Source organism: Homo sapiens, chromosome 7 (genome assembly GCF_000001405.40).
Source record: "Homo sapiens chromosome 7, GRCh38.p14 Primary Assembly".
NCBI classification, from domain to species: Eukaryota; Metazoa; Chordata; class Mammalia; order Primates; family Hominidae; genus Homo; species Homo sapiens.
The window spans coordinates 67,342,182-67,363,347 of record NC_000007.14 but is presented as its reverse complement, the minus strand read 5'-3'; the positions used below and the strand labels follow the sequence as shown (position 1 = coordinate 67,363,347).

Genomic DNA, 21,166 nt, shown 5'->3' with positions numbered 1-21,166 from the left:
CACTTCGTTGATGTTATTATTATTTTCCAAGCTTTGAAGCAATCACAGATGAGAAGATCTTCATTTGAAAACACATAAAAGTCCTGAAAATAGTACAATTAAAATGAAAAGGAAATTACCAGAGTAAATAATTGCTGTAAATATGACCCACGAAGTGTTAATTTCCAAGTCTTTGGAAAGTCTAATGTATGTCTGGGGCGGGGAGGGGAGCCAAAGAATGCAGGAGGAATGTTCCTCAAAAGAAGAAACACAATTCACACAAAAGGCAATGCTTATTTTTAAATGGTTCAACCTCACAGTAATCAAAGAAATGCAAATTAAAAGTACAATAAGAAATCATTTATCCATTGTAGCCGGGTGCGGTGGCTCACGCCTGTAATCCCAGCACTTTGGGAGGCCGAGGCGGGTGGATCACAAGGTCAGGAGATCAAGACCATCCTGGCTAACACAGTGAAACCTCGTCTCTACTAAAAAAAAAAAATACAAAAAATTAGCTGGGCATGGTGGTGGGCGCCTGTAGTCCCAGCTACTTGGGAGGCTGAGGCAGGAGAATGGCGTGAACCCAGGAGGCAGAGCTTGCAGTGAGCAGAGATTGTGCCACTGCACTCCAGCCTGGGCGACAGAGCGAGACTTCATCTAAAAAAAAAAAAAAATTCATTTATCCATTGTAAATGAGCTGGGAAACCTTTTTCTCGTAATGTTCCTTGTTAGAGAGTTGCAGTAGGAAAGAAATAAAGAAGCTCACTGAAACAATGTACATGAGGACTGCTGGAAACAAGCCCTTTGCAAAGCATTTTGCCAAAGGGTATCAAGAGACTCAACAATGCTCATACTCTTTGATCCAACAATCCCACACCTAGGAACTTGACCAAAGCAAACCATTCTCAAGAGGAAAGAAAGTTATTTGAAAATCTTAGCTCAGGCGGGGCGCATGCCTGTAATCCCAGCACCTTGGGAGGCCAAGGCGGATGGATCACGAGGTCAGGAGTTCGAGACCAGCCTGGCCAACATGGTGAAACCCTGTTTCTACTAAAAATACAAAAAATTAGCCAGGCATGGTAGCACACACCTGTAATCCCAGCTACTCGGGAAACTGAGGCAGGAGAATTGCTTGAACCCAGGAGGCAGAGGTTGCAGTAAGCTGAGATCACGCCATTGCACTCCAGCTTGGGCAACAAGAGCAAAACTCCATCTAAAAAAAAAAAATTAGCTGAAGTTTTTTTTTTGTTTTCTTTTTTTTTTTTTTTTTTTTTTTTTTTTTGAGACACAGTCTCACTCTGTCACCCAGGCTGGAGTGCAGTGACACGATCTCAGCTCACTGCAACCTCCACCTCCCAGGTTCAAGAGATTCTCCTGTCTCAGCCTCCTGAGTAGCTGGGACTACAGGCATGAGTCAATTTTTGTATTTTTAGTAGAGAAGGGGTTTCATCATGTTGGCCAGGCTGGTCTGGAACTTCTGACCTCAAGCGATCTGCCTGCCTCAGCCTCCAAAAGTGCTGGGATTACAGGTGTTAGCCACCACACCTGGCCTAATTTTTGTGTTTTTAGTAGAGGCAGTGGTTTCACCATGTTGGCCAGGCTGGTCTCGAACTCCTGACCTCAGGTGATCCACCCACCTCGGCCTCCCAAAGTGCTGGGATTACAGGCGTTAGCCACTGTGCCCAGCCCACCACAGTTTTATTTGTAAAATCTGGAAAGCAATATAGTATAGTGGAAAGAGTGTTACCAGAAAGGGGTCCCCATCCAGACCACAAGAGTGGGTTCTCAGACCTCACACAAGAAAGAATTCAGGGTGAATCCATACAGTAATGTGAAAGCAAGTTTATTAAGAAAGTAAATGAATAAATAATGGCTACTCCATACGCATAGCAGCAGCTTGGGATGCTTGATTGATAATACTTAGTTACTTCTTGATTATGTGCTAAACAAGAGGTGGACTGTTCATGAGTTTTCCAGGAAAGAGGGGGGTAATTATTGGAACTGAGAGTCCCCTCCCCCTTTCTAGACCATATAGGATGACTTCTGTAAAACGTCATGGCACTGGCGGGAGTGTCTCTTAGCATGCTAATGCATTATAATGAAGCAGCGTTATTTGTCTGGGGTAATACCAGAGGTTTGTTGCCCCACACCTGGAGAAATTGAGGATGCAGACACACACAAGGAGTGAGGTTAAGAGTGGAGGTTTAGTAGGCAAAAGAAAGAGTAAAGCTCTTTCTGCTGCAGAGAGGGAGGGGCTCTTAAGTTGGTCTTCTAGTCTCGTGGTGAAATGCAGGGGATTTTTACAGACAAGCTTGAGGAGGTGGTATCTGATTTACCTAGGGCCCAAGAGATTGACTGGACCAGGTGTGCCATTTGCATAGCATGCAAAGAAGCTGGCCATCCCACCCTAATCTCTTCGTTTCTTTTTTTTTTTTTTTTTGAGACAGGGTCTCACTCTGTCGCCCAGACTGGAGTGCAGTGGCGCAATCTCAGCTAACCACAACCTCTGCCTCCCAAGCTCAAGCGATTCTCTTGCCTCAGCCTCCTGAGTAGCTAGGATTACAGGCGTGGGCCACTACCACTCAGCTAATTTTTGTATTTTTAGTAGAGAGAGGGTTTCACCATGTTGGCCAGGCTGGTCTCAAACTCCTGACCTCAGGTGATCCGCCTGCCTTGGCCTCCCAAAGTGCTGGCACTACAGGTGTGAGCCACCGCGCCCAACCCCACCCTAATCTTTTATTATGCAAATGGAGTCTCTACCTGGCCGTCTCCATGTTGCCTGCTTTTTTACTGCACACGTGGCGACAAAGAAAAGGGAAGAGGGAACTTCCATGTTGAATATACCTGGCTTCCAGGTATCCCTTTTCTATTGGCACAGCTGTCAGCATTTACCTATGCAAGCTTTTAGCTTGCTTATCTATGTTTGCAGCTTGATTTTTCAGGCTGCTTTCTGTTAGAAAAGAAATGATTTGGGGGCTGCTTTTTATTAAAAGGTAACCTTACTGAAGACTCTCTTACCCTCACTATCTGCCTAAATAATTTCTTTCTAGCTCCTGTATCAATAATTAGCATATAATGAGCAGTGAGGACAACCAGAGGTCACTCTCATTGCCATGTTGGTTTTGGTGACTTTTGGCTGGCTTTACCGCATCCTGTTTTATCAGCAAGGTCCTTGTGACCTGTATCTTGTGCTGACCTCTTATCTCATCCTGTGACTAAGAATACCTAACCTGGGAATGCAGCCCAGCAGGTCTCAGCCTTATTTCACCCAGCCCCTATTCAAAATGGAGTCACTCTGGTTTGAATGCCTCTGACAAGAGTAAAAAGTTTCATTTCAAAAAAAGAATGGACTCAAATTCCGGTTGTCTCCCGATCCTTCCCTTGTCACCTTATGGCTTCTTCATTTCCACCCTGTAATTGCCTGTAATAGTGAAGTACATTCACCTTGCAAGCTTTAGGAAAGATTGAACAAAAGGTATTTACACAACTGTGTTGTAACTGACTATAAAAGACAATTTTATTATTTTGATCATCAAAAGGAAGACATGGGAAGAGCCCATACTGCCAACAATAAGAAAAATTTAAGTCACTTATAATACAACCACTGCTGTGGAAAACTATAGCCACTAGGGGCTATAATTACGAAGATAATGGATCAATCCAAAAAAAAAAAAAAAAACACTCCTGATTCTTTCGGGCAGACAACAAAATGATATAATTATGTAAAAATTATGCCATGAATGAGAACAGGAAAGAAAGATAGAATAAAATGAAGACAGCTTCTGCATTTGGGAGGTAGAATTGCAGGCAGTCTTTGTTTATCTTATTATCACTATGATTTGTTTGTACAATAAATAAGAGTTAGACTTGGGGAGAATCACTACTGAATTTTATCAAAAGCCTCGTCCTATCTACTGAGATAACAGCATGTTTCATTACTTTTCCCATAGATTGTGGTAATAGCTTTCCTTCCATTACCCCAGCCTCGGTCTCCTAGGTGAACATCTACCAGATCCTAGTGCATTCCATTTAATTCAAGCCTGAGAACTTTTACTGAGCAACTACTTTGTACCAAGTTCTGCCGCTAAGAGAGGAAGAGGTCAATGGGGGATATTACCTTGGTGAGGGTCCAATCCAGGACCCCAGGACCAGAGAGGGGCCCACAGGGGAAAGAGAAGGGCTGGGGCCTTCACAGAAGGCAAGTAGAATGGGCAGAGTGAGGCCATGAGGGGAAGCACTTTGCCATGAGTGTCAGAGCTTAGCATGGGGCTTGGCACATAGTGGGTGCCCAATAAACATTTTATGAATTGAACTGAACTGTATTGCATGGGGGAGTCTCACTCCCATCCCCAACCTCTCTTACTCCAGACCAGCATCAGGGACAAGCCCTTGCCCTCCCAGCAACTGAAACCACCTTTGCAAAATTATGACTGAGACAGTGAAAGAGATCTAACTTCACTGACTCCATCTTGTTTCTAACCTCCAAGCTGTCTTCGTTCATTCCTGGGCATAGGCTGAACTAACTTTGGGAGAAATTTAGTTTATAGTTTAAACAAAAGCGACTAGATTGCCTTTGTAGGACTAACATTAGCCACAAGATTAGAAATTACGGTTTTAGGAGTCATGCAGCTGGAGGCTACAAGATTCTGACCCTCCCTAAACTGCTCCTAAGACCAGTGCTTGAGATATTTTACAGACCCTGCATTTGATAGAGCAGCTGGCCCCACCCAGACTGATAAACTGGCTCATCTAATCTTGTGGCTCCTCCCACCCAGGAACTGACTCAGTGCAAGAAGACAGCATGTACCCACTACGATTTTATCTCTGACAAATCAGCACTCCCGGGTCACTGGCTCAACTCACCCACCAAGTAGTCCTTAAAAACTCTGCTCTCCTTGGCCAGGCGTGGTGGCTCATGCCTGTAATCCCATAATCCTGGCACTCTGGGAGGCCGAGGCAGGCAGATCACGAGGTCAAGAGATTGAGACCATCCTGGCCAACATGGTGAAACCTCGTCTCTACTAAAAATACAAAAATTAGCCGAGCGTGGTGGCACAGGCATGTAATCCCAGCTACTCAGGAGGCTGAGGCAGGAGAATCGCTTGAACCTGAGAGGCGGAGGTTGCAGTGAGCTGAGATCGTGACACTGCACTCCAGCCTGACAGAGTGAGACTCCGTCTCAAAACAAAACAAAACAAAAACAAACAAACAAAAACTCTGCTCCCCGAATGCTCCAGGGGACTGCTTTGAGTAATAATAGAACTCCAGTCTCCCACACAGCCAGCTCTGCATGAAGTACTCCTTCTCTATTGCAATTCCCCTGTCATGAAAAACTGGCCCTGTCTAGACAGCATGCAAGGTGAACCCACTGGGCAGTTACAGAATCCCCTGACCTTTCTCCCCATGGTCTCCTTCTCCAAAGCCTAGTCCAAGCCAGTGAGAAAGGAGGAAGGAAGAAACCAGTCAGGCAGGCAGTTAGGGTGGGTCCTCAGTTGAGTTCTTTCAAATGAAAGAACAGCCTGCAGGCACAGACAAAGGAACTTGCACAAGGGGGCTTGCCTAAGACGTGCCTATAGCTGCATAGACCCAGCACCTTGGGATGCTGAGGCAGGTGGATCACCTGAGGTCAGGAGTTCGAAACTAGCCTGGCCAACATGGTGAAACCCCATCTCTACTAAAAATACAAAATTAGCCAGGGGTAGTGGCATGCGCCAGTAATCCCAGCTATTCGGGAGCCTGAGGCAGGAGAATCACTTGAACCTGGGAGGCAGAGGTTGCAGCAAGCAGAGATCTCACCACTGCACTCCAGTCTAGGAGACAGAGTGAGACCCTGTCTCAAAAAAAAAAAAAAAAGTCCACACAAGAGACTTGCCCAGACATACCTGCAATGGAAAATTCAATTCCCTGACACATGCGCAGTATGGGGAACAAAGCAATATGAGAGTAACTCAAGCTGAGGGCCCGCATGCACACTAGGAGGACGGGGACCAGAAATTCACACCTTATGCAAATGAGACACCTACCTCTCATCAATTTCTTTAGAAAGCCTCTGTATTCACCTGTGCAACATCGACCCTTGGCCGGGCGCGGTGGCTCACACCTGTAATTCCAGCACTTTGGAAGGCCGAGGCAGGCGGACCACAAGGTCAGGAGATCGAGACTATCCTGGCTAACCCAGTGAAACCACATCTCTACTAAAAAAATACAAAATGAATCAGCCGGGCGTGGTGGTGGGTGCCTGTAGTCCCAGCTACTCGGGAGGCTGAGGCAGGAGAATGGCGTGAACCTGGGAGATGGAGCTTTCAGTGAGCCGAGATCACACCACTGCACTCCAGCCTGGGCGACAGAGTGAGACTCTGTCTCAAAAAAAAAAAAGAAGAAGAAGAAACAGCAACCCTTTTTCAGGACCCCTCTCTGCGGCAGATAACTATCTCTCTCTCTTTCATTTATTAAACTCCTGCTCTAACCTCACCTGGGAGAGTTCATGCCCTTGATTTCTTCAGCCGTGAGACAGAGAACTTCAGGTGGCACCCTAGACGATGAGGCCATTTCACGAAAGCTCTAGTCCTAGTGGTTTGTTTTTGTTTTTTGAGACAGGGTCTTGCTCTGTCACCCAGGCTGGAGTGCAGTGGTGTGATCATGGCTTACTGCAGCCTCAAACTCCTAGACTCAAGCAGTCCTCCCACCTCGGCCTCCCAAGCAGCTGGGACTACAGGTGCACCCCACTATGCCTAATTTTTTTTTTTTTTTTTGAGACCAAATCTTGCTGTTTCCCCCAGGCTGGAGTGCAGTGGCGCAATCTCAACTCACTGCAACCTCTGCCTCCAGGGTTTGAGCAATTCTCCTGCCTCAGCCTCCCAAGTAGCTGGGATTACAGGCATGTGCCACTAGGCCCAGCTAATTTTTTGTATTTTTAGTAGAGGTTTCGCCATGTTAGCCAGGCTGGTCTCGAACTCCTGACCTCAGGTGATCCACCTGCTTCTGCCTCCCAAAGTACTGGGATTACAGGCGTGAGCCACTGCACCTGGCCCTGACAAATTATTTTTAATTTCTTTGTAGAGATGAGGTCTTGCTATGTTGTCCAGTCTGGTCTCAAACTCCTGGCTTCAAGTGGTCTTCCCATTGAAGTGTTGGGATTACAAGTGTGAGCCACCGCGCCCAGCCCTGGCCTTGGTTCTTTGCTCCTACAAAGTGCTAGAAAAAAAACCCTGCCTGGTCCCTAAACAGACCTCCAGGGACCATATTTGATCAACGAAAACTCCATACCTGGGGTATACTGACAAGGCACGTTTTCCGATTTGTAGAGTTACTTGTTTAACAAGCAAAACAAAATACATCCTGCAAAGAAACAAGAAACCATCACAGCTAGGTTTAGATTTAATGAATTACTTTTACTGAAAAGAACAAAACTATGTGAGAAGAGTATAAAACTCTAGTGTGGAAAAAAAAAGAAAAAAACAGCGTATCTATCTTTTTTTTTTTTAGGCGGAGTTTCACTCTGTTGCCCAGGGTGGAGTGCAGTGGTGCAATCTCGGCTCACTGCAAGCTCCGCCTCCCAGGTTCACGCCATTCTCCTGCCTCAGCCTCCCCAGTAGCTGGGACTACAGGCGCCCGCCACCACGCCCGGCTAATATTTTGTATTTTTAGTAGAGACAGGGTTTCACCGTGTTAGCCAGGATGGTCTCGATCTCCTGACCTCATGATCTGCCCGCCTCGGCCTCCCAAAGTGCTGGGATTACAGGCGTGAGCCACTATCTTTTCTTTTTTCTTTATTCTTTTTTTTTTTTTTTTTTTTTTTGAGAGAGTCTTGCTCTGTTGCCAGGCTGGAGTGCAGTGGTGTGATCTTGGCTCACAGCAACCTCCACCTCCCAGATTCAAGTGATTCCCCTGCTTCAGCCTCCCAAGTAGCTGGGATTACAGACATCTGCCACCACATTTCTACAAAAATATAATAATTTTTGTATTTTAGTAAAGACAGGGTTTCACCATGTTAGCCAAGATGGTCTCGATCTCCTGACCTCGTGATCTGCCCACCTCAGCCTCCCAAAGTGCTGGGATTACAGGCGTGAGCCACGGCGCCCGGCCTAAGCGCATCTATCTTTTCTCTGTCATTCATCTTCTGCAGAAGCTGACGATGCATCGTTCTTCTCCTCTTTGAAGGGCCCATCGTGATCCATAATTCCTATTTCTCTTAATATTTTCAAATATCTCTTGGGCAAGCCATCAAGCAATCCGCTTGGCCCATGAGTGATTTTCCAGTCCATTATTTTATTTTATTTTATTTTTGAGACAGAGTGTCACTCTGTTTTCCAGGCTGAAGTGTAGTAGTGTGATCTCAGCTCACTGCAAACTCCACCTCCCAGGTTCAGGCAATTCTCCTGCCTCAGCCTCCTGAGTAGCTGGGATTACAGGTGCCCACCACCACACCTGGCCAATTTTTGTATTTTTAGTAGAGACGACTTTTCACCATGTTGGCCAGGCTAATCTGAAACTCCTGACCTCATGTGATCTGCCTGCCTCGGCCTCCCAAAGTGCTGGCATTACAGGCATGAGCCATCGTGCCCGGCCGATTTTCTAGCAGCATTGTTGTGAGCCCAAGCTGTCCCCCTCCTTGACTGTGTGAAAATGTTTAACTGGGAATTGTCACCTGTAAAAAAAAAAAACAAAAAAAATTCCTCTCGCACAGCAAGGCTTGCCATCAGTTTTCTTTACCTGACCTGGTTATTTATTTTTATTCTGAAATAAAACGTTATAGCTAAGGAATTTGAAGCACACTTCAAGGAACATCACATTACAGGGCGGAAGGAGCAAGCTGCCCAGTGGAAGGGGGCCACCAGCGTCCCCTCAAACCTGGTGGCAGCCGCATGGTTGCTGGGGTTTATGTGCTATAGCCGTGTTCCCCACATTTACTACTCAAAAATGCACCGCTGGCTGAGCGCAGTGGTTCACACCTGTAATCCCAGCACTTTGGAAGGCCGAGGCAGGCTGATCACCTGAGTTCAGGTGTTCAAGACCAGCCCGGTCAACATGGTGAAACCCCATCTCTACTAAAAATACAAAAATTAGCCGGGCGTGGTGGTGGGCACCTGTAGTCCCAGCTATTCTGGAGGCTGAGGTGGCAGAATCGCTTGAACCCGGGAGGGAGAGGCTGTAGTGAGCTGAGATCGTGCCACTGCACTCCAGACTGGGCGACAGAGTGAAACTCTGTCTCAAAAAATAAAAATAAAAATAAACACACAAAATGCACCCCTTTGGCCAGGCACAGTGGCTCACACCTGTAATCCTAGCACTTTGGGAGACCAAAGCAGAAGGATTCCTTGATCCCAGGAATTCAAGATCAGCCTAGGCAACATAGCAAGACCCCACCCCTACAAAAAAATAAAATTAGCCGGACATGGTGGTGCATGCCTGTAGGCTTAGCTACTCGGGTGACTGAGGTGGGAAGATCACTTGAGCCCAGGAGTTGGAGGCCACAGTTAGCTATGATCATGCCACTGCACTCCAGTCTGCATGACAGTGTGAGACCCTGTCTCAAAACAAACAAACAAGAGACCCTGGAGATGGCCTGAACTAATACTTGACCTGATCACGCCATTTCACAAATGCTGGAAGCCGGTTTTTTGCTTTTTTTTTTCTTTTGAGAGAGTCATCATTCTATTACTCAGGCTGCAATGCAGTGGCTCGATCTCAGTTCACTGCAACTTCCGCCTCCCGGGTTCAAGTGATTCTCCTGCCTCAGCCTCCCGAGTAGCTGGGATTATAGGCACGTGCCACCACACCCGGCTAATTTTTGTATTTTTAGTAGAGATGAAGTTTCACCATGTTGGCCAGGCTGGTCTCGAACTCCTGACCTCGTGATCTGCCTGCCTCAGCCTCCCAAAGTGCTGGGATTACAGGCATGAGCCACCGCGCCTGGCCTGGAAGCCAGTATTATTGGAGGAGGTGCAGGATGGAATTTGATTTCCTTTAGGGACCTCAGGCAAGTCACTAGCTCTTCATGGTACTCAGTCTCTCATCCCCTCAAGGGCTGCCCGACAGCCTCTTCCAGCCCTGACATTTGTGATTCCGGTGTCTGTTGTGAGAGTGGGTGCTGGTAACAGCCCTGTGCACTCTTAACTCAGGAAAGATTCCATTTAGATTCCTTGTTGGAAACATGTTGGCTTTCTTGTGGAAGGCGACGATTTATGCTGAAAGTCGCCTCTGCAGTAGGAAGCTAAGATTTCCCTCCCTGCCCCATTTTTTTCCCAACTCCTCAAGACTCATTTGGCCTGAGTGCAACAGAATAAAAGAGGAAAGTTTAGTATCAGCTTCACCGGGTTCATTTTGCAAACCTCACTTAGATTTAGCATTAGGTTTAGGGCTAGAGTAGGGCTTATGGTAGAGTTAGGATTGAAGCTAGGGCTGTTTTTAGGATTAGGATTTGATTTAGGGGTAGGGTTAGGGATAGGACTAGAGTTAAGTTAGGGTTAAGTGATGGCTACGGCTAGGATTCAGGCTAGGTTTAGGGTTATGAGCAGGATTAGTCTTAGGGTTAGGGATAAGGGTAGGGCTAAAACCAGGGCTAGGATTAGAGATATTTGTAGGCTTAATTTTGTGTATATGTATATAGATAGATAGATAGATAGATAGATAGATAGATAGATAGATAGATATACACACACACACATATATATATAATTGTGTGTGTGTGTGTGTGTGTATATATATATATATATATATATATATTTTTTTTTTTTTTTTTTTTTTTTTTTTTTGAGACAGAATCTCGCTCTGTTGCCCAGGCTGGAGTGCAGTGGCTCAATTTCGGCTCACTGCAACCTCCACTTCCCGGGTTTAAACAATTCTTGTGCCTCAACCACCCGAGTAGCTGGGACTACAGGCATACTCCATCATGCCCGGCTATTTTTTGTATTTTTAGTAGAGACGGGGTTTCACCATGTTGGCCAAGCTGGTCTCAAACTCCTGGCCTCAAGTGATCCACCTGCCTTGGTCTCCCAATGTGCTGGGATTGCAGGTGTGAGCCACTGCACCTGGCCAGTAGGCTTAATTTTAGGATTAAAATTGATGGATTTGCTTGGTCAGGGATCCATCATCTCCTTGTGGTGCTTCTTCCTTCTGACTCTTTAGCAGTCTTCTGTACCCTGCAAAGCCACAGGGGCAGAGCTGCCCAAGGCCATGGGAGCCCACCTCTTGCACCAGCATGACCTGGATGTGAGACGTGGAGTCAAAGGAGATCATTTCAGAACTTTAAGATTTGACTGCCAGCCAGGCGTGGTGGCTCACACCTGTAATCCCAGCACTTTGGGAGGCCAAGGTGGGCGGATCATGAGGTCAGGAGATCGAGACCGTCCTGGCCAACATGGTGAAGCCCCATCTCTGCTAAAAATACAAAAAAAAAAAAAATTAACTGGGTGTGGTGGTGTGCACCTGCAGTCCCAGCTACTCAGGAGGCTGAGGCAGGGGAATCGCTTGAACCCAGGAGGTGGAGGTTGCAGTGAGCCAAGATCACGCCACTGCACTCCAGCCTGGTGACAGAGGGAGACTCTGTCTCAAAAAAAGAAAAAAAAAAAAAGATTTGGCTGCCCTGCTGGATTTCAGACTTGCAAGGGATCTGTAGCCCCGTTGTTTTGGCCAATTTTCTCCCATTTGGAATGGGCATATTTACCCAATGCCTGTCCCCTCCTTGTATCTAGGAAGTAACTAACTTGCTTTTGATTTTACAGGCTCATAGGCAGAAGGAACTTGCTTTGTCTCAGATGAGACTTTGGACTTGGACTTTTGGGTTAATGCTGGAATGAATTAAGACTTAGGGGGACTGTTGGGAAGACATGATTGGTTTTGAAAGGAACATGAGATTTGTGAGGGGCCAAGGGTGGAATTATATGATTAGGCTTTGTGTCCCCACCCAAATCTCATCTTGAATTATAATCCCCCAAATCCCCATAATCCCCACGTGTCAAGGGAGAGACCAGGTGGAGGTAAGTGAATCATGGGGGTGGTTTCCCCCATGCTGTTCTCATGATAGTGAGTGAGTTCTCATGAGATCTGATGGCTTTATAAGGGCCTCTTCTCCCTTCGCTCAGCACTTCTCCCTCCTGCCACCTTGTGAAGAAGGTGCCTTGCTTTCCCCTTCATCTTCCACCACGATTGTAAGTTTCCTGAGGCCTCCCCAGCCATGCTGAACTGTGGGTCAATTAAACCTCTTTTCTTTATAAAGAAAAGTAACTCTCATTCAAGTTACTTCATTACCTTTCATCTTCCAGCATATTGTGTTAGTTACTGACTTTTATTTTTCAGAGATAATTTCCTCATAGCCAAATGCACAGATCTTACCTGTGTCATTCAATCAGTTTTGACAAATCAAATTCCCACGTAACCAGCACCTCTGTCAAGACACAGAACATTTTATCACCCCACAATGTTGCCTGTATAGCTTTTCCCTAAAAGCTACCACTGATCTGATTTCTGGGGTTTTTTTTTTGTTTTTTTGTTTTTGAAACGGAGTCTCACTCTGTCACCCAGTCTGGAGTGCAGTGGTGCAATCTCAGCTCATTGCAGCAACCTCCACCTCCCGGGTTCAAGCGATTCTCCCACCTCAGCCTCTCGAGTAGCTGGGACTACACGCACCTGCCACCACGCCCAGCTAATTTTTTGTATTTTTAGTAGAGACAGGGTTTCACCATGTTGGCCCAGATGGTCTCAATCTCCTGACCTCGTGATCTGCCCACCTCAGTCTCCCAAAGTGCTGGGATTACAGGCGTGAGCCACCGTGCCCGGTCCTCTGATCTGATTTTTATGGCTATAGGTTGGTTTTACTAGTTCCAGAACTTAAATGAAATCATACATTATAGACCGTTTGATCTAAGATTTTTTTTCATTGTTTTTATAGAGACAAGGTCTTGCTCTGTCGCCCAGGATGGAGTGCAGTGAAGTGATCATAGCTCACTGCAGCCTCAAATTCCTGGGTTCAAGTGATCCTCCTGCCTCAGCCTCACGAGTAGCTGGGAGCACGCCACTCTATCTGGCTAATTTTTTTTTAATTTTTGTAAAGATGGGGTGTCACTATGTTGCCTAGGCTGATCCGAAACTCCTGGGCTCGAGCAATCTGCCTGCCTTGGCTTCCCAGACTGTTAGGATTACAGGCATGAGCCACCATGCCCAGCCTAATATTTTTTTTAAGCAGCACAATATTTTTCAGGTTTATTTATGTTGTTTGTGTTCTACTGACTTTTTTAGTACAAGACTTATATTCTGATATTTTTAGTACCAAGTACTTTTTCACTATCTGCCCAAAGCCTGTCACAATTAATGTATAAACCTACCGTCTACAGTGTTAGCTGTGACCTCGGTTCTCATACAAAGTGCTCTGCTGAACCATCTGTTTCAGATGATTTCTACACTTAAATTTGCTTTCATTAAATAAAAGAGGGACCCATAATTTATTCCAAGTGAGATGTCATACCTCACATGTCAGCACCTTCTTCATTAACCCATCCAATTTGCACTGAGAAGACTTGGAATAGAACCTGTGTGGCAGGTAATGGAGGTATGGCGGGGGGTGGAGGGTGGAGAAAGCACTTCTCCAATAAGGGTGGGGAGTGATATCTTTCTGGAAGCAGAGAACCTGGTCAGAAGTGGCTTGTCTTAATGAAGAGATGGCCAAATACAGAGCTGGGAGAAGGCTGGGTGTAGCGGCTTATGCTTCTAATCCCAATGTTTTGGGAGGCCAAGACAGGAGGATTGCTTGAGGCCAAGAGTTTGAGACCAGCCTGGGAAACATAGTGAGACCCTATCTCTTAAAAAAAAATTTTTTTTTTTTTTTGAGAGGGAGTCTCATTCTGTCACCCAGGCTGGAGTGCAGTGGTGCAATCTCAGCTCACCGCAACCTCCACCTCCTGGGTTCAAGCGATTCTCCTGCCTCAGCCTCCTGAGTTGCTGGGATTACAGGCACCCACCACCACACCTAGATAATTTTTGTATTTTAGTAGAGTTGGGGTTTCACCATGTTGGCCAGGCTAATCTCAAACTCCTGACCTCAGGTGATCTGCCCGCCTCGGCCTTCCAAAGTGCTGGGATTATAGGCATGAGACACCACACCCGGCCATCTTAAAAAATTTTTTTTTAATTAGCTGAGCATGGTGATACATGCTTGTAGTCCCAGCTACTTGGAAGGCTGAGGCAGTAGGATGACTTGAGCCCACAAGTTCAAGGCAGCAGTGAGCTGTGATCATGCCACTGCACTCCAGCCTAGGCAACAGAGCAAGACCCTGTTTCTAAAAACAAATAAATAAAAAGTTGGATTAAAAATGAGTTTTAGATCCAGCTCGGTCACTTGGCTTCACAACTTTTGGCCAATCACCTAGGGTCGCCTCCTTTATAAAATGGGAATGACATAATTGCCATTGCAATAATAACTAGCATTCGGATATTGCCTTAGACAGCAAATGAGACCCTGAAAAACAGCAGACACCTGCTAAAAGTTAAATGAATGTAATCAAAAGTGCCTTGTGGGCCGGGCGCGGTATCTCACACCTATAACCCCAGTACTTTGGGAGGTTGAGGCAGGCACATCGCTTGAGGTCAGGAGTTCGAGACCAGCCTGGCCAACATGTTGAAACCCCATCTGTATAAAAAAAAAAAAATTTAAATTAGCTGGGTGTTATGGCTGACACCTGTAGTCCCAGCTACTCCAGAGGCTGAGGCAGGATAATTGCTTGAGCCTGGGAAGTGGTGGTTGCAGTGAGCCCAGATTGCGCCACTGCACTCCAGCCTGGGTGACAGAGTGAGTCCCTGAATCGATAAAATTAAAAAATAAAGTTCATTGTAAACTGTAAAATGTGTGTTGAAGCCTCCGCCCATGGGCTGCAGGGACAGGGACAGGTCACACAGTCTGTCCTCAGGAATCTTGCAAAGTTGGCTTCACAGAATGATTCACCCGCGGACCTTCCTTTGACTGCATCACGAGCACAAGAGTTTTTCCAAAACCCAGCCTCACCGCAGAGCCGTCCATTCAGAATCTCTAGGCAGAGCCCCGGAGCTGACTGTTTTTAGCTTTCCTGGGTGATCTGGATGTCCCATCAGGGGACAGCAATGAGAGGGGGCTGCTCCTTTTTGGGGAATGGACCTTATGGAGGCAGTATGAGGAGAGTAACTCCCCAAAGAGAAGACACCCTTGGGTTGGGCCTGCTTTTTTTAATAGAGACAGAGTCTCAATCTGTCTCCCAGGCTGGAGTGCAGTGGTGCGATCATAGCTCACTGCAGCCTCGACCTCCTGACCTCAAGCGATCCTCCCAGCTCAGCCTCCTGAGTAGCTGGGACTACAGGCACATACCACCACACCTGGCTTTTTTTTTTTTTTAAGACATAGGGTCTCACTATGTTGCCCAGGCTGGTCTCAAACTCCTGGCCTCAAGCAATCCTCCCACCTCAGGCTCCCAAAGTGCTAAGATTACAAGCATGAGCCACAGTGCCCAGTCTAAGATTTTTTTTTTTAAGCAGCATAATGTTTTTCAGGTTTACTTATGTTGTTTGTGATCTACTGACGTTTTTAGTATAAGACTTATATTCTGACTTTTTTACTGCCCGGTACTTTTAGACAGGGTCTCACTCTGTCTCCCAGGCTGGAGTGTGCTGGTGCAATCATGGCTAACTGCAGCCGCCAACTCCTGGTCCCAAGCCATGCTCCCGAGTAGCTGGGACTGCAGGTATACACCACTACACCTGGGTAAGTTTTTTATTTTTTTTCTTTTCTTTCTTGCTTTCTTTATTTATTTTTTGAGACAGAGTCTCGCTCTGTCACCCAGGCTGGAGAGCAGTGGCACAATCTCAGCTTACTGCAACCTCCGCCTCCCAGGTTCAGGCAATTCTCCTGCCTCAGCCTCCCAAATAGCTGGGACTATAGGTGTATGCCACCACGCCCGGCTGATTTTTTGTATTGTTAGTAGAGACGGGGTTTCACCGTGTTAGCCAGGATGGTCTTGATACCCTGACCTCATGATCCTCCCGCCTTGGCCTCCCAAAGTGCTGGGATTACAGGTGTGAGCCACCGTGCCCAGCCTTATTTTTTAATTTTTTTAGTATAGGATCTTGCTATGCTGCCCAGGCTGGTCTTGAACTCCTGGCCTCAAGTACTCCTTCTGCCTGAGCCTCCCAGAGTACTGGCATTAGAGGTGTGAGACACCATGCCTGGCTTGCTTTTATATCAATGCATGTCACTGCCTTCCATAGGTGGGCTGACTCCTGGAGGCCAGATGGTGGACACCAGCCCACAGCAACGTGCTAATAAAGAGGGTGTCTGCCGTGGCCACATGCTGCCACCTCCCAAAATGCCAGGGAATCCCAGGGGGAAGCAGCTGTGCAGACAAGTTCATGCTCACCAAGTGTGCCCTCTGTACCCTGATCGTCCCCTGCCTTCCTTACAAACCACTTGAAAATGTGTAACCAGTTTAGACCAATGGACTGTGTGAACTTGTAAAATATATATTTAGTCTTCGTCCCCTTTCCTGGCACACAACTCCCAACAGCCTTAGAATCCTTAAAGTGATCATCTTTTTGTATGTTAATGAGTAGCTTCAGGATAGGGGCTAAGTCACCCAAAGACCAAGGAAGGATTAGAGGGTTGGGACTTTCAGCCCCACCCCTAACCTCCAGGGAGGAGAGATGGGCTCAACGGTGACCTGAATCACCAACAGCCAGTCACTTAATCCATCATGCCCTATGTAATGATTCTATAAAAACCCTAAAGGACTGGGTTCAGGGGGCTTCCAGAAGGCTGAACAAGTGGAGATTCCTAGTGGGGGTGGGGGGGTGTTGCACCCAGGGATGGCATGGAATCTCTCCATCCCTTCCTCCATACCTCACCCTATGCACCTGTGAAAGGAAAATATCTTGAGCTCCTTCAAGCTGGGATCTGCTCAGGGCAAATCTGCCTCCCATTCTATCCAAAGTCATCCCTTAGCTCACTGAGATAGATGCATATCTGACTGCCTTAAAGGCTACTCAGAAGCTCAGAAGAATGCAACCATTCCTCTCTCACCTATGACCGGGAAGCCTCCTCCCTGCTTGCAGTCTTCCAGCCTTTGCTTCAAGTTGTCCTGTCTTTCCAGACCAAACCAATGTACTTCTTACATATATTGATTGATGTCTCACGTCTCCCTGAAATGCATAAAACCAAGCTGTGCCCCGACCTCCTTGGGCACATGACGTCAGCACTTCCTGAGGCTGTGTCATGGGTGTGCATCCTCAACCTTGGTAAAATAAGCTTTCTAAATTTACCGAGACCTGTCTCAAATGCTCGGGGTTCACAGTCCTCTTCCTCTGTAGCCTTTGGAACATCTTTTATAATAAACCAGTAAATGTAAGTGTTTCCCTGAGTTCTGTGAGCCACTCCAGCAAATTAAGCAAACCCAAAGAGGGAGTTGTGGGAACCCTGATTTATAGTCACCAGTCAGAAGCACAGATAAAACAACCTGGGGCTTGTGATTGGCATCAAAGTAGGGAGTAGTCTTGGGGGCTGATTTCTCAACCTATGGGATCAGATGCTGTCTCCAAGGAGAGGATGCCCAGCTAGTATCTGCTGCAGAATGAATTACGTGTTTGCTAGTGGGGAGAAATCCCTAAACATTTGGTCACAGAAGTCTTCCGTGTTGGTTGTTGTGGGGTGAGAGCAGAGAAAAACCAGCTTGTGGCTGAGTGTGGTGGCTCACGCTTGTAATCCCAGCACTTTGGGAGGCCGAATTGGGCAGATCACTTGAGGTCAGGAGTTCGAGACCAGCCTGGCCAACATGGTGAAACCCCTACTAAAAATACAAAAATGAGCTGGGTGTGGTGACACACATTTGTAATCCCAGCTACTTGGGAGGCTGAGGTGAGAGGATTCCTTGAACCTAGGAGGCAGAGGTTGCAGTGAGCCGAGATCGTGCCACTGCACTCCAGTCTGTGCAAGAGAGAGAGCCTCAAAAAAACACTGTTTTTTCCACACAGAGATGTTGCAGTCTCCCCAATGCACCACAATGTAGCAGTCTCTCTTTGTGAGGTGTCAGTCGGAGTTCTTTGTCTCATGACCAAGAGAATTAAGGAGCGTGGACACATAGGGTGAGGTAGGAGTGAAAGTTTAATAAGTGAAAGAAAGCTCTCTGCAGCAGAGAGGGAGCCCAAATGGGTTGCTGTTTTTACAGTTGAATGCAAAGGCTTTTATAAGAAACTGATGAGGGCTGGGTATCTCATTTGCATAAAGGCACAAACTTCTGGTAGCTCCCCACCCCATTCTCCTAATGCACATGCAGCCCCTTAGCTTGAGTTCTCTATATTGCTTTGTTCCCCTTACTGCACATTTGTCAGGAGATGTACTTTTCCATTGTGGGCATGTCTAGGCAAGTCACCTGTGTAGGCTTTTTTATCTGTGGAGCTGTGCGCATGTCTCAGGCAAGCCCCCCTGTGCAAGTTCCCTTATTTGTGCCTGCAGCTTGATTTTTCAGGCTGTTCTTTTGTTTGAAAGAATTCAACTGAGGACCCACTCTAACTGCCTGCCTGTCCGGTTTCTTTCTCCTCTCTCAGAGACTGTGACAAAAATGACATGTGTTACCTCCAGGTCAAGGCAGTTAAGGCCAGCATGCCTCATCCATTCCTCTCTTCCTTCCATAGAGATCTCAAAGACAACATGTCTTCTGTAATGTCTCCTCTAGCCTGGGGCCCTGAGTGACTATATGGAGCAGAGAGACACTCCTGTTGGCTCTCACTGGAGATGCAGCATGAGCAAGGAATAAGCCTGTGTTGTGTAAACCAGTGGTGATTTAAGGCTATTTAGTTGCAGCAACTAGTAACAGTAATCCTGACTAATGCAATTGTATATCCGGTGGTTTCTACTTACTCTCCCAGAAACTAGAATGCTCTGAATGTTAGTAGAAGAAACTAAGGACATTAGCAGATTTAATAACCACCAGCAAGAATTCCCAAATGATGGCCGGGTGTGCTGGTGGCTCACATCTGTAATCCCAGTGCTTTGGGAGGCCGAGATGGAAAGATCACTTGAGCCCAGAAGTTTAAGACCAGGCTGAGCAATATAGTGAAACCCTGTCTCTACAAAAAAAGAAAATTTTTAATCAGCCACACCTGTAGTCCCAGCTAATCTGAAGGCTGAGGTGGGAGGATCATGTCAGCCCAGGAGTTTGAGGCTGCAGTGAGCTATGATTGCACCACTGTGCTCCAATCTGAGTGACAGAGCAAGATTCTGTCTCTAAAAAAACAAAAAACAAAGAAAGACTTCCCAAGTGAATAAGTCTACCTCCTAAACACCTTGGAACAGTTCTAAAAGAAGTCGATCTGAGTGCACAACATCAGAAATTCTTAAGATATCGCCCTGGCTAGGGACACCCCAGGTGTTACCCCTGGCCAAAAGCCAAGCGCTGGCCACCCATTCAGCCCCCTTGGTTATGCCTCATAAACATTTTATGGACCCTGTTCAATTGAACAGCGATTCACACTATTAACTCCCATCACGGTTTTATTGTGGAAAGATGTTGCAAGCTTGGTCCATGCAAGCAGAGCCATGCATCAGTTCAGGAATCACGGCTGCCAAAGCCCAGCTGGAGCAGGTGCAGATGCAGATCGGCAACTCATGGCTAATGGACTGCTCCCAATCTCACCCCAGCCAGCTGGCACTGAGCCCTGAGGCTTCAACCTCCCAGCAAAGGTCCTGGAAATGGCTGGACTGAATTAGTCCCCAATATAACATGGGATGATGTTGCATTCACCCCAGTGGGATGTATGATCATAAAAATCTGTTCTATCAGCCTTCCTGCCTTCATCCTGCACCCAGGACAGACCCATGTCCTATTACTGCCAATGCAATTTCACATCAGACATCTATAGGGTGATATCTATTCAGGAATGACAGAGAGAGTGACAGAAAAGGAAGACTTGGGCCCTTGACATGCTGAGCATGAGGAGTGAGGGGTAAGCAGTCTGGGTGATTCCCCTGCCCAGCCCGAGATACTTGCATAAAGCCGCATTTCCCCCAGCAACAGTCTCTGGTCCCTGTCTGTCCATTAGCTGACTCCAGTCCTGACCAGCCTGTTCTCAGTCCTCCTGCCAGGACACATTCTAAAGACCGTGGGAGACTCAGCTCAGCCTCACTCCTCCCCAGAGCCAGATTACAACCTTTTGAGGCTCTAAGCATTGACTATGGTGATGCCCCCAGTCACTGTCCCAGCCCCTCACTGTTCAATTCACAACAAAACAGTATTTTGCAGAATGACACAAAACTGATATTGATACTGGAATTCAAATAGCCTTATTCTGAATTTTCAGATTGCAAAATCCTGTATAAGTTTGTCAAGAATGAGCGCCTCTCTGTCTCTTCGGGTGTGTGTTCTTGTGTGAGTGTGTGCCTGGATGTGGGTGTGGGTGACTCTGGTGTGAGTCTGGATGCAGGGGTGTGAGTATGTGTGTTTCCTGGCTTTTTATTTTTTGGTGGGCAGAGTCTCGTTCTATCACCCAGGCTGGAGTGTAGTGGCATGATCTCAGCTCACTGCAAATTCCTCCTCCTGGGTTCAAGCGATTCTCGTGCCTCAGCCTCCCGAGTAGCTGGGACTACAGTTGTGCATCACCACGCCTGGCTAATTTTTGTATTTCTAGTAGAGACGGGGTTTCATCATGTTGGCCAGGTTGGTCTTGAACTTCTGACATTAAGCGTTCCACCCACCTCAGCTTCCCAAAGTGCTGAGATTACAGGCGTGAGCCACCACACCCAGCCTTTTTTTTTTTTTTTTTTTTTTTTTTGAGATGGAGTCTCGCTCTGTCACCCAGGCTGGACTGCAGTGAAGCGATCTCGGCTCACTGGGTTCAAGTGATTCTCCTGTCTCAGCCTTCCGAGTAGCTGGGATTACAGGCATGCACCACCATGCTCGGTTAATTTTTGTATTTTTAGTGGAGATGAGGTTTCCCCATGTTGGCCAGGCTGGTCTCGAACTCCTGAACTCAGGTCATCCGCGGCTCAGCCTCCCAAAGTGCTGGGATTACAGGCATGAGCCACCACACCCAGCCTGTTTCCTGACTTTGATTGGCCCCTGAGTCTGTCTCCTCACCCCTTCTTCAGCATTTATCTCCTTCACAGCTTCTCTGTCTATGGAGGGCCCCAGACAGGCTTTGCTTCCCAAAGGAAACCAGGCAAAGTGATTTTGGGATGTGA

General features: G+C 46.9%; 1 long non-coding RNA gene across 1 annotated transcript, besides 1 other annotated feature; it reads right to left on the bottom strand.

Annotated features, from left to right (window-relative positions):
- Positions 1 to 7,073: 7,073 nt before the first annotated feature.
- On the bottom strand, positions 7,074 to 17,739 carry LOC105375337 (uncharacterized). Its single transcript, XR_927635.2, has 3 exons — positions 17,015 to 17,739; positions 12,313 to 12,364; positions 7,074 to 7,317 (listed from the first exon to the last, which is right to left on the bottom strand). It is a non-coding gene; the product is annotated as an uncharacterized LOC105375337 (long non-coding RNA).
- Positions 17,673 to 18,872: an enhancer, noted in NCBI's record as "MED14-independent group 3 enhancer chr7:66809463-66810662 (GRCh37/hg19 assembly coordinates)". NCBI's record gives its function as "activates an origin of replication core promoter dependent on BRD2, BRD4, P300/CBP and CDK7 cofactors, and independent of MED14, by STARR-seq in HCT116 cells {active_cell/tissue: HCT116}" and the evidence as "EXISTENCE:reporter gene assay evidence [ECO:0000049][PMID:35650434]".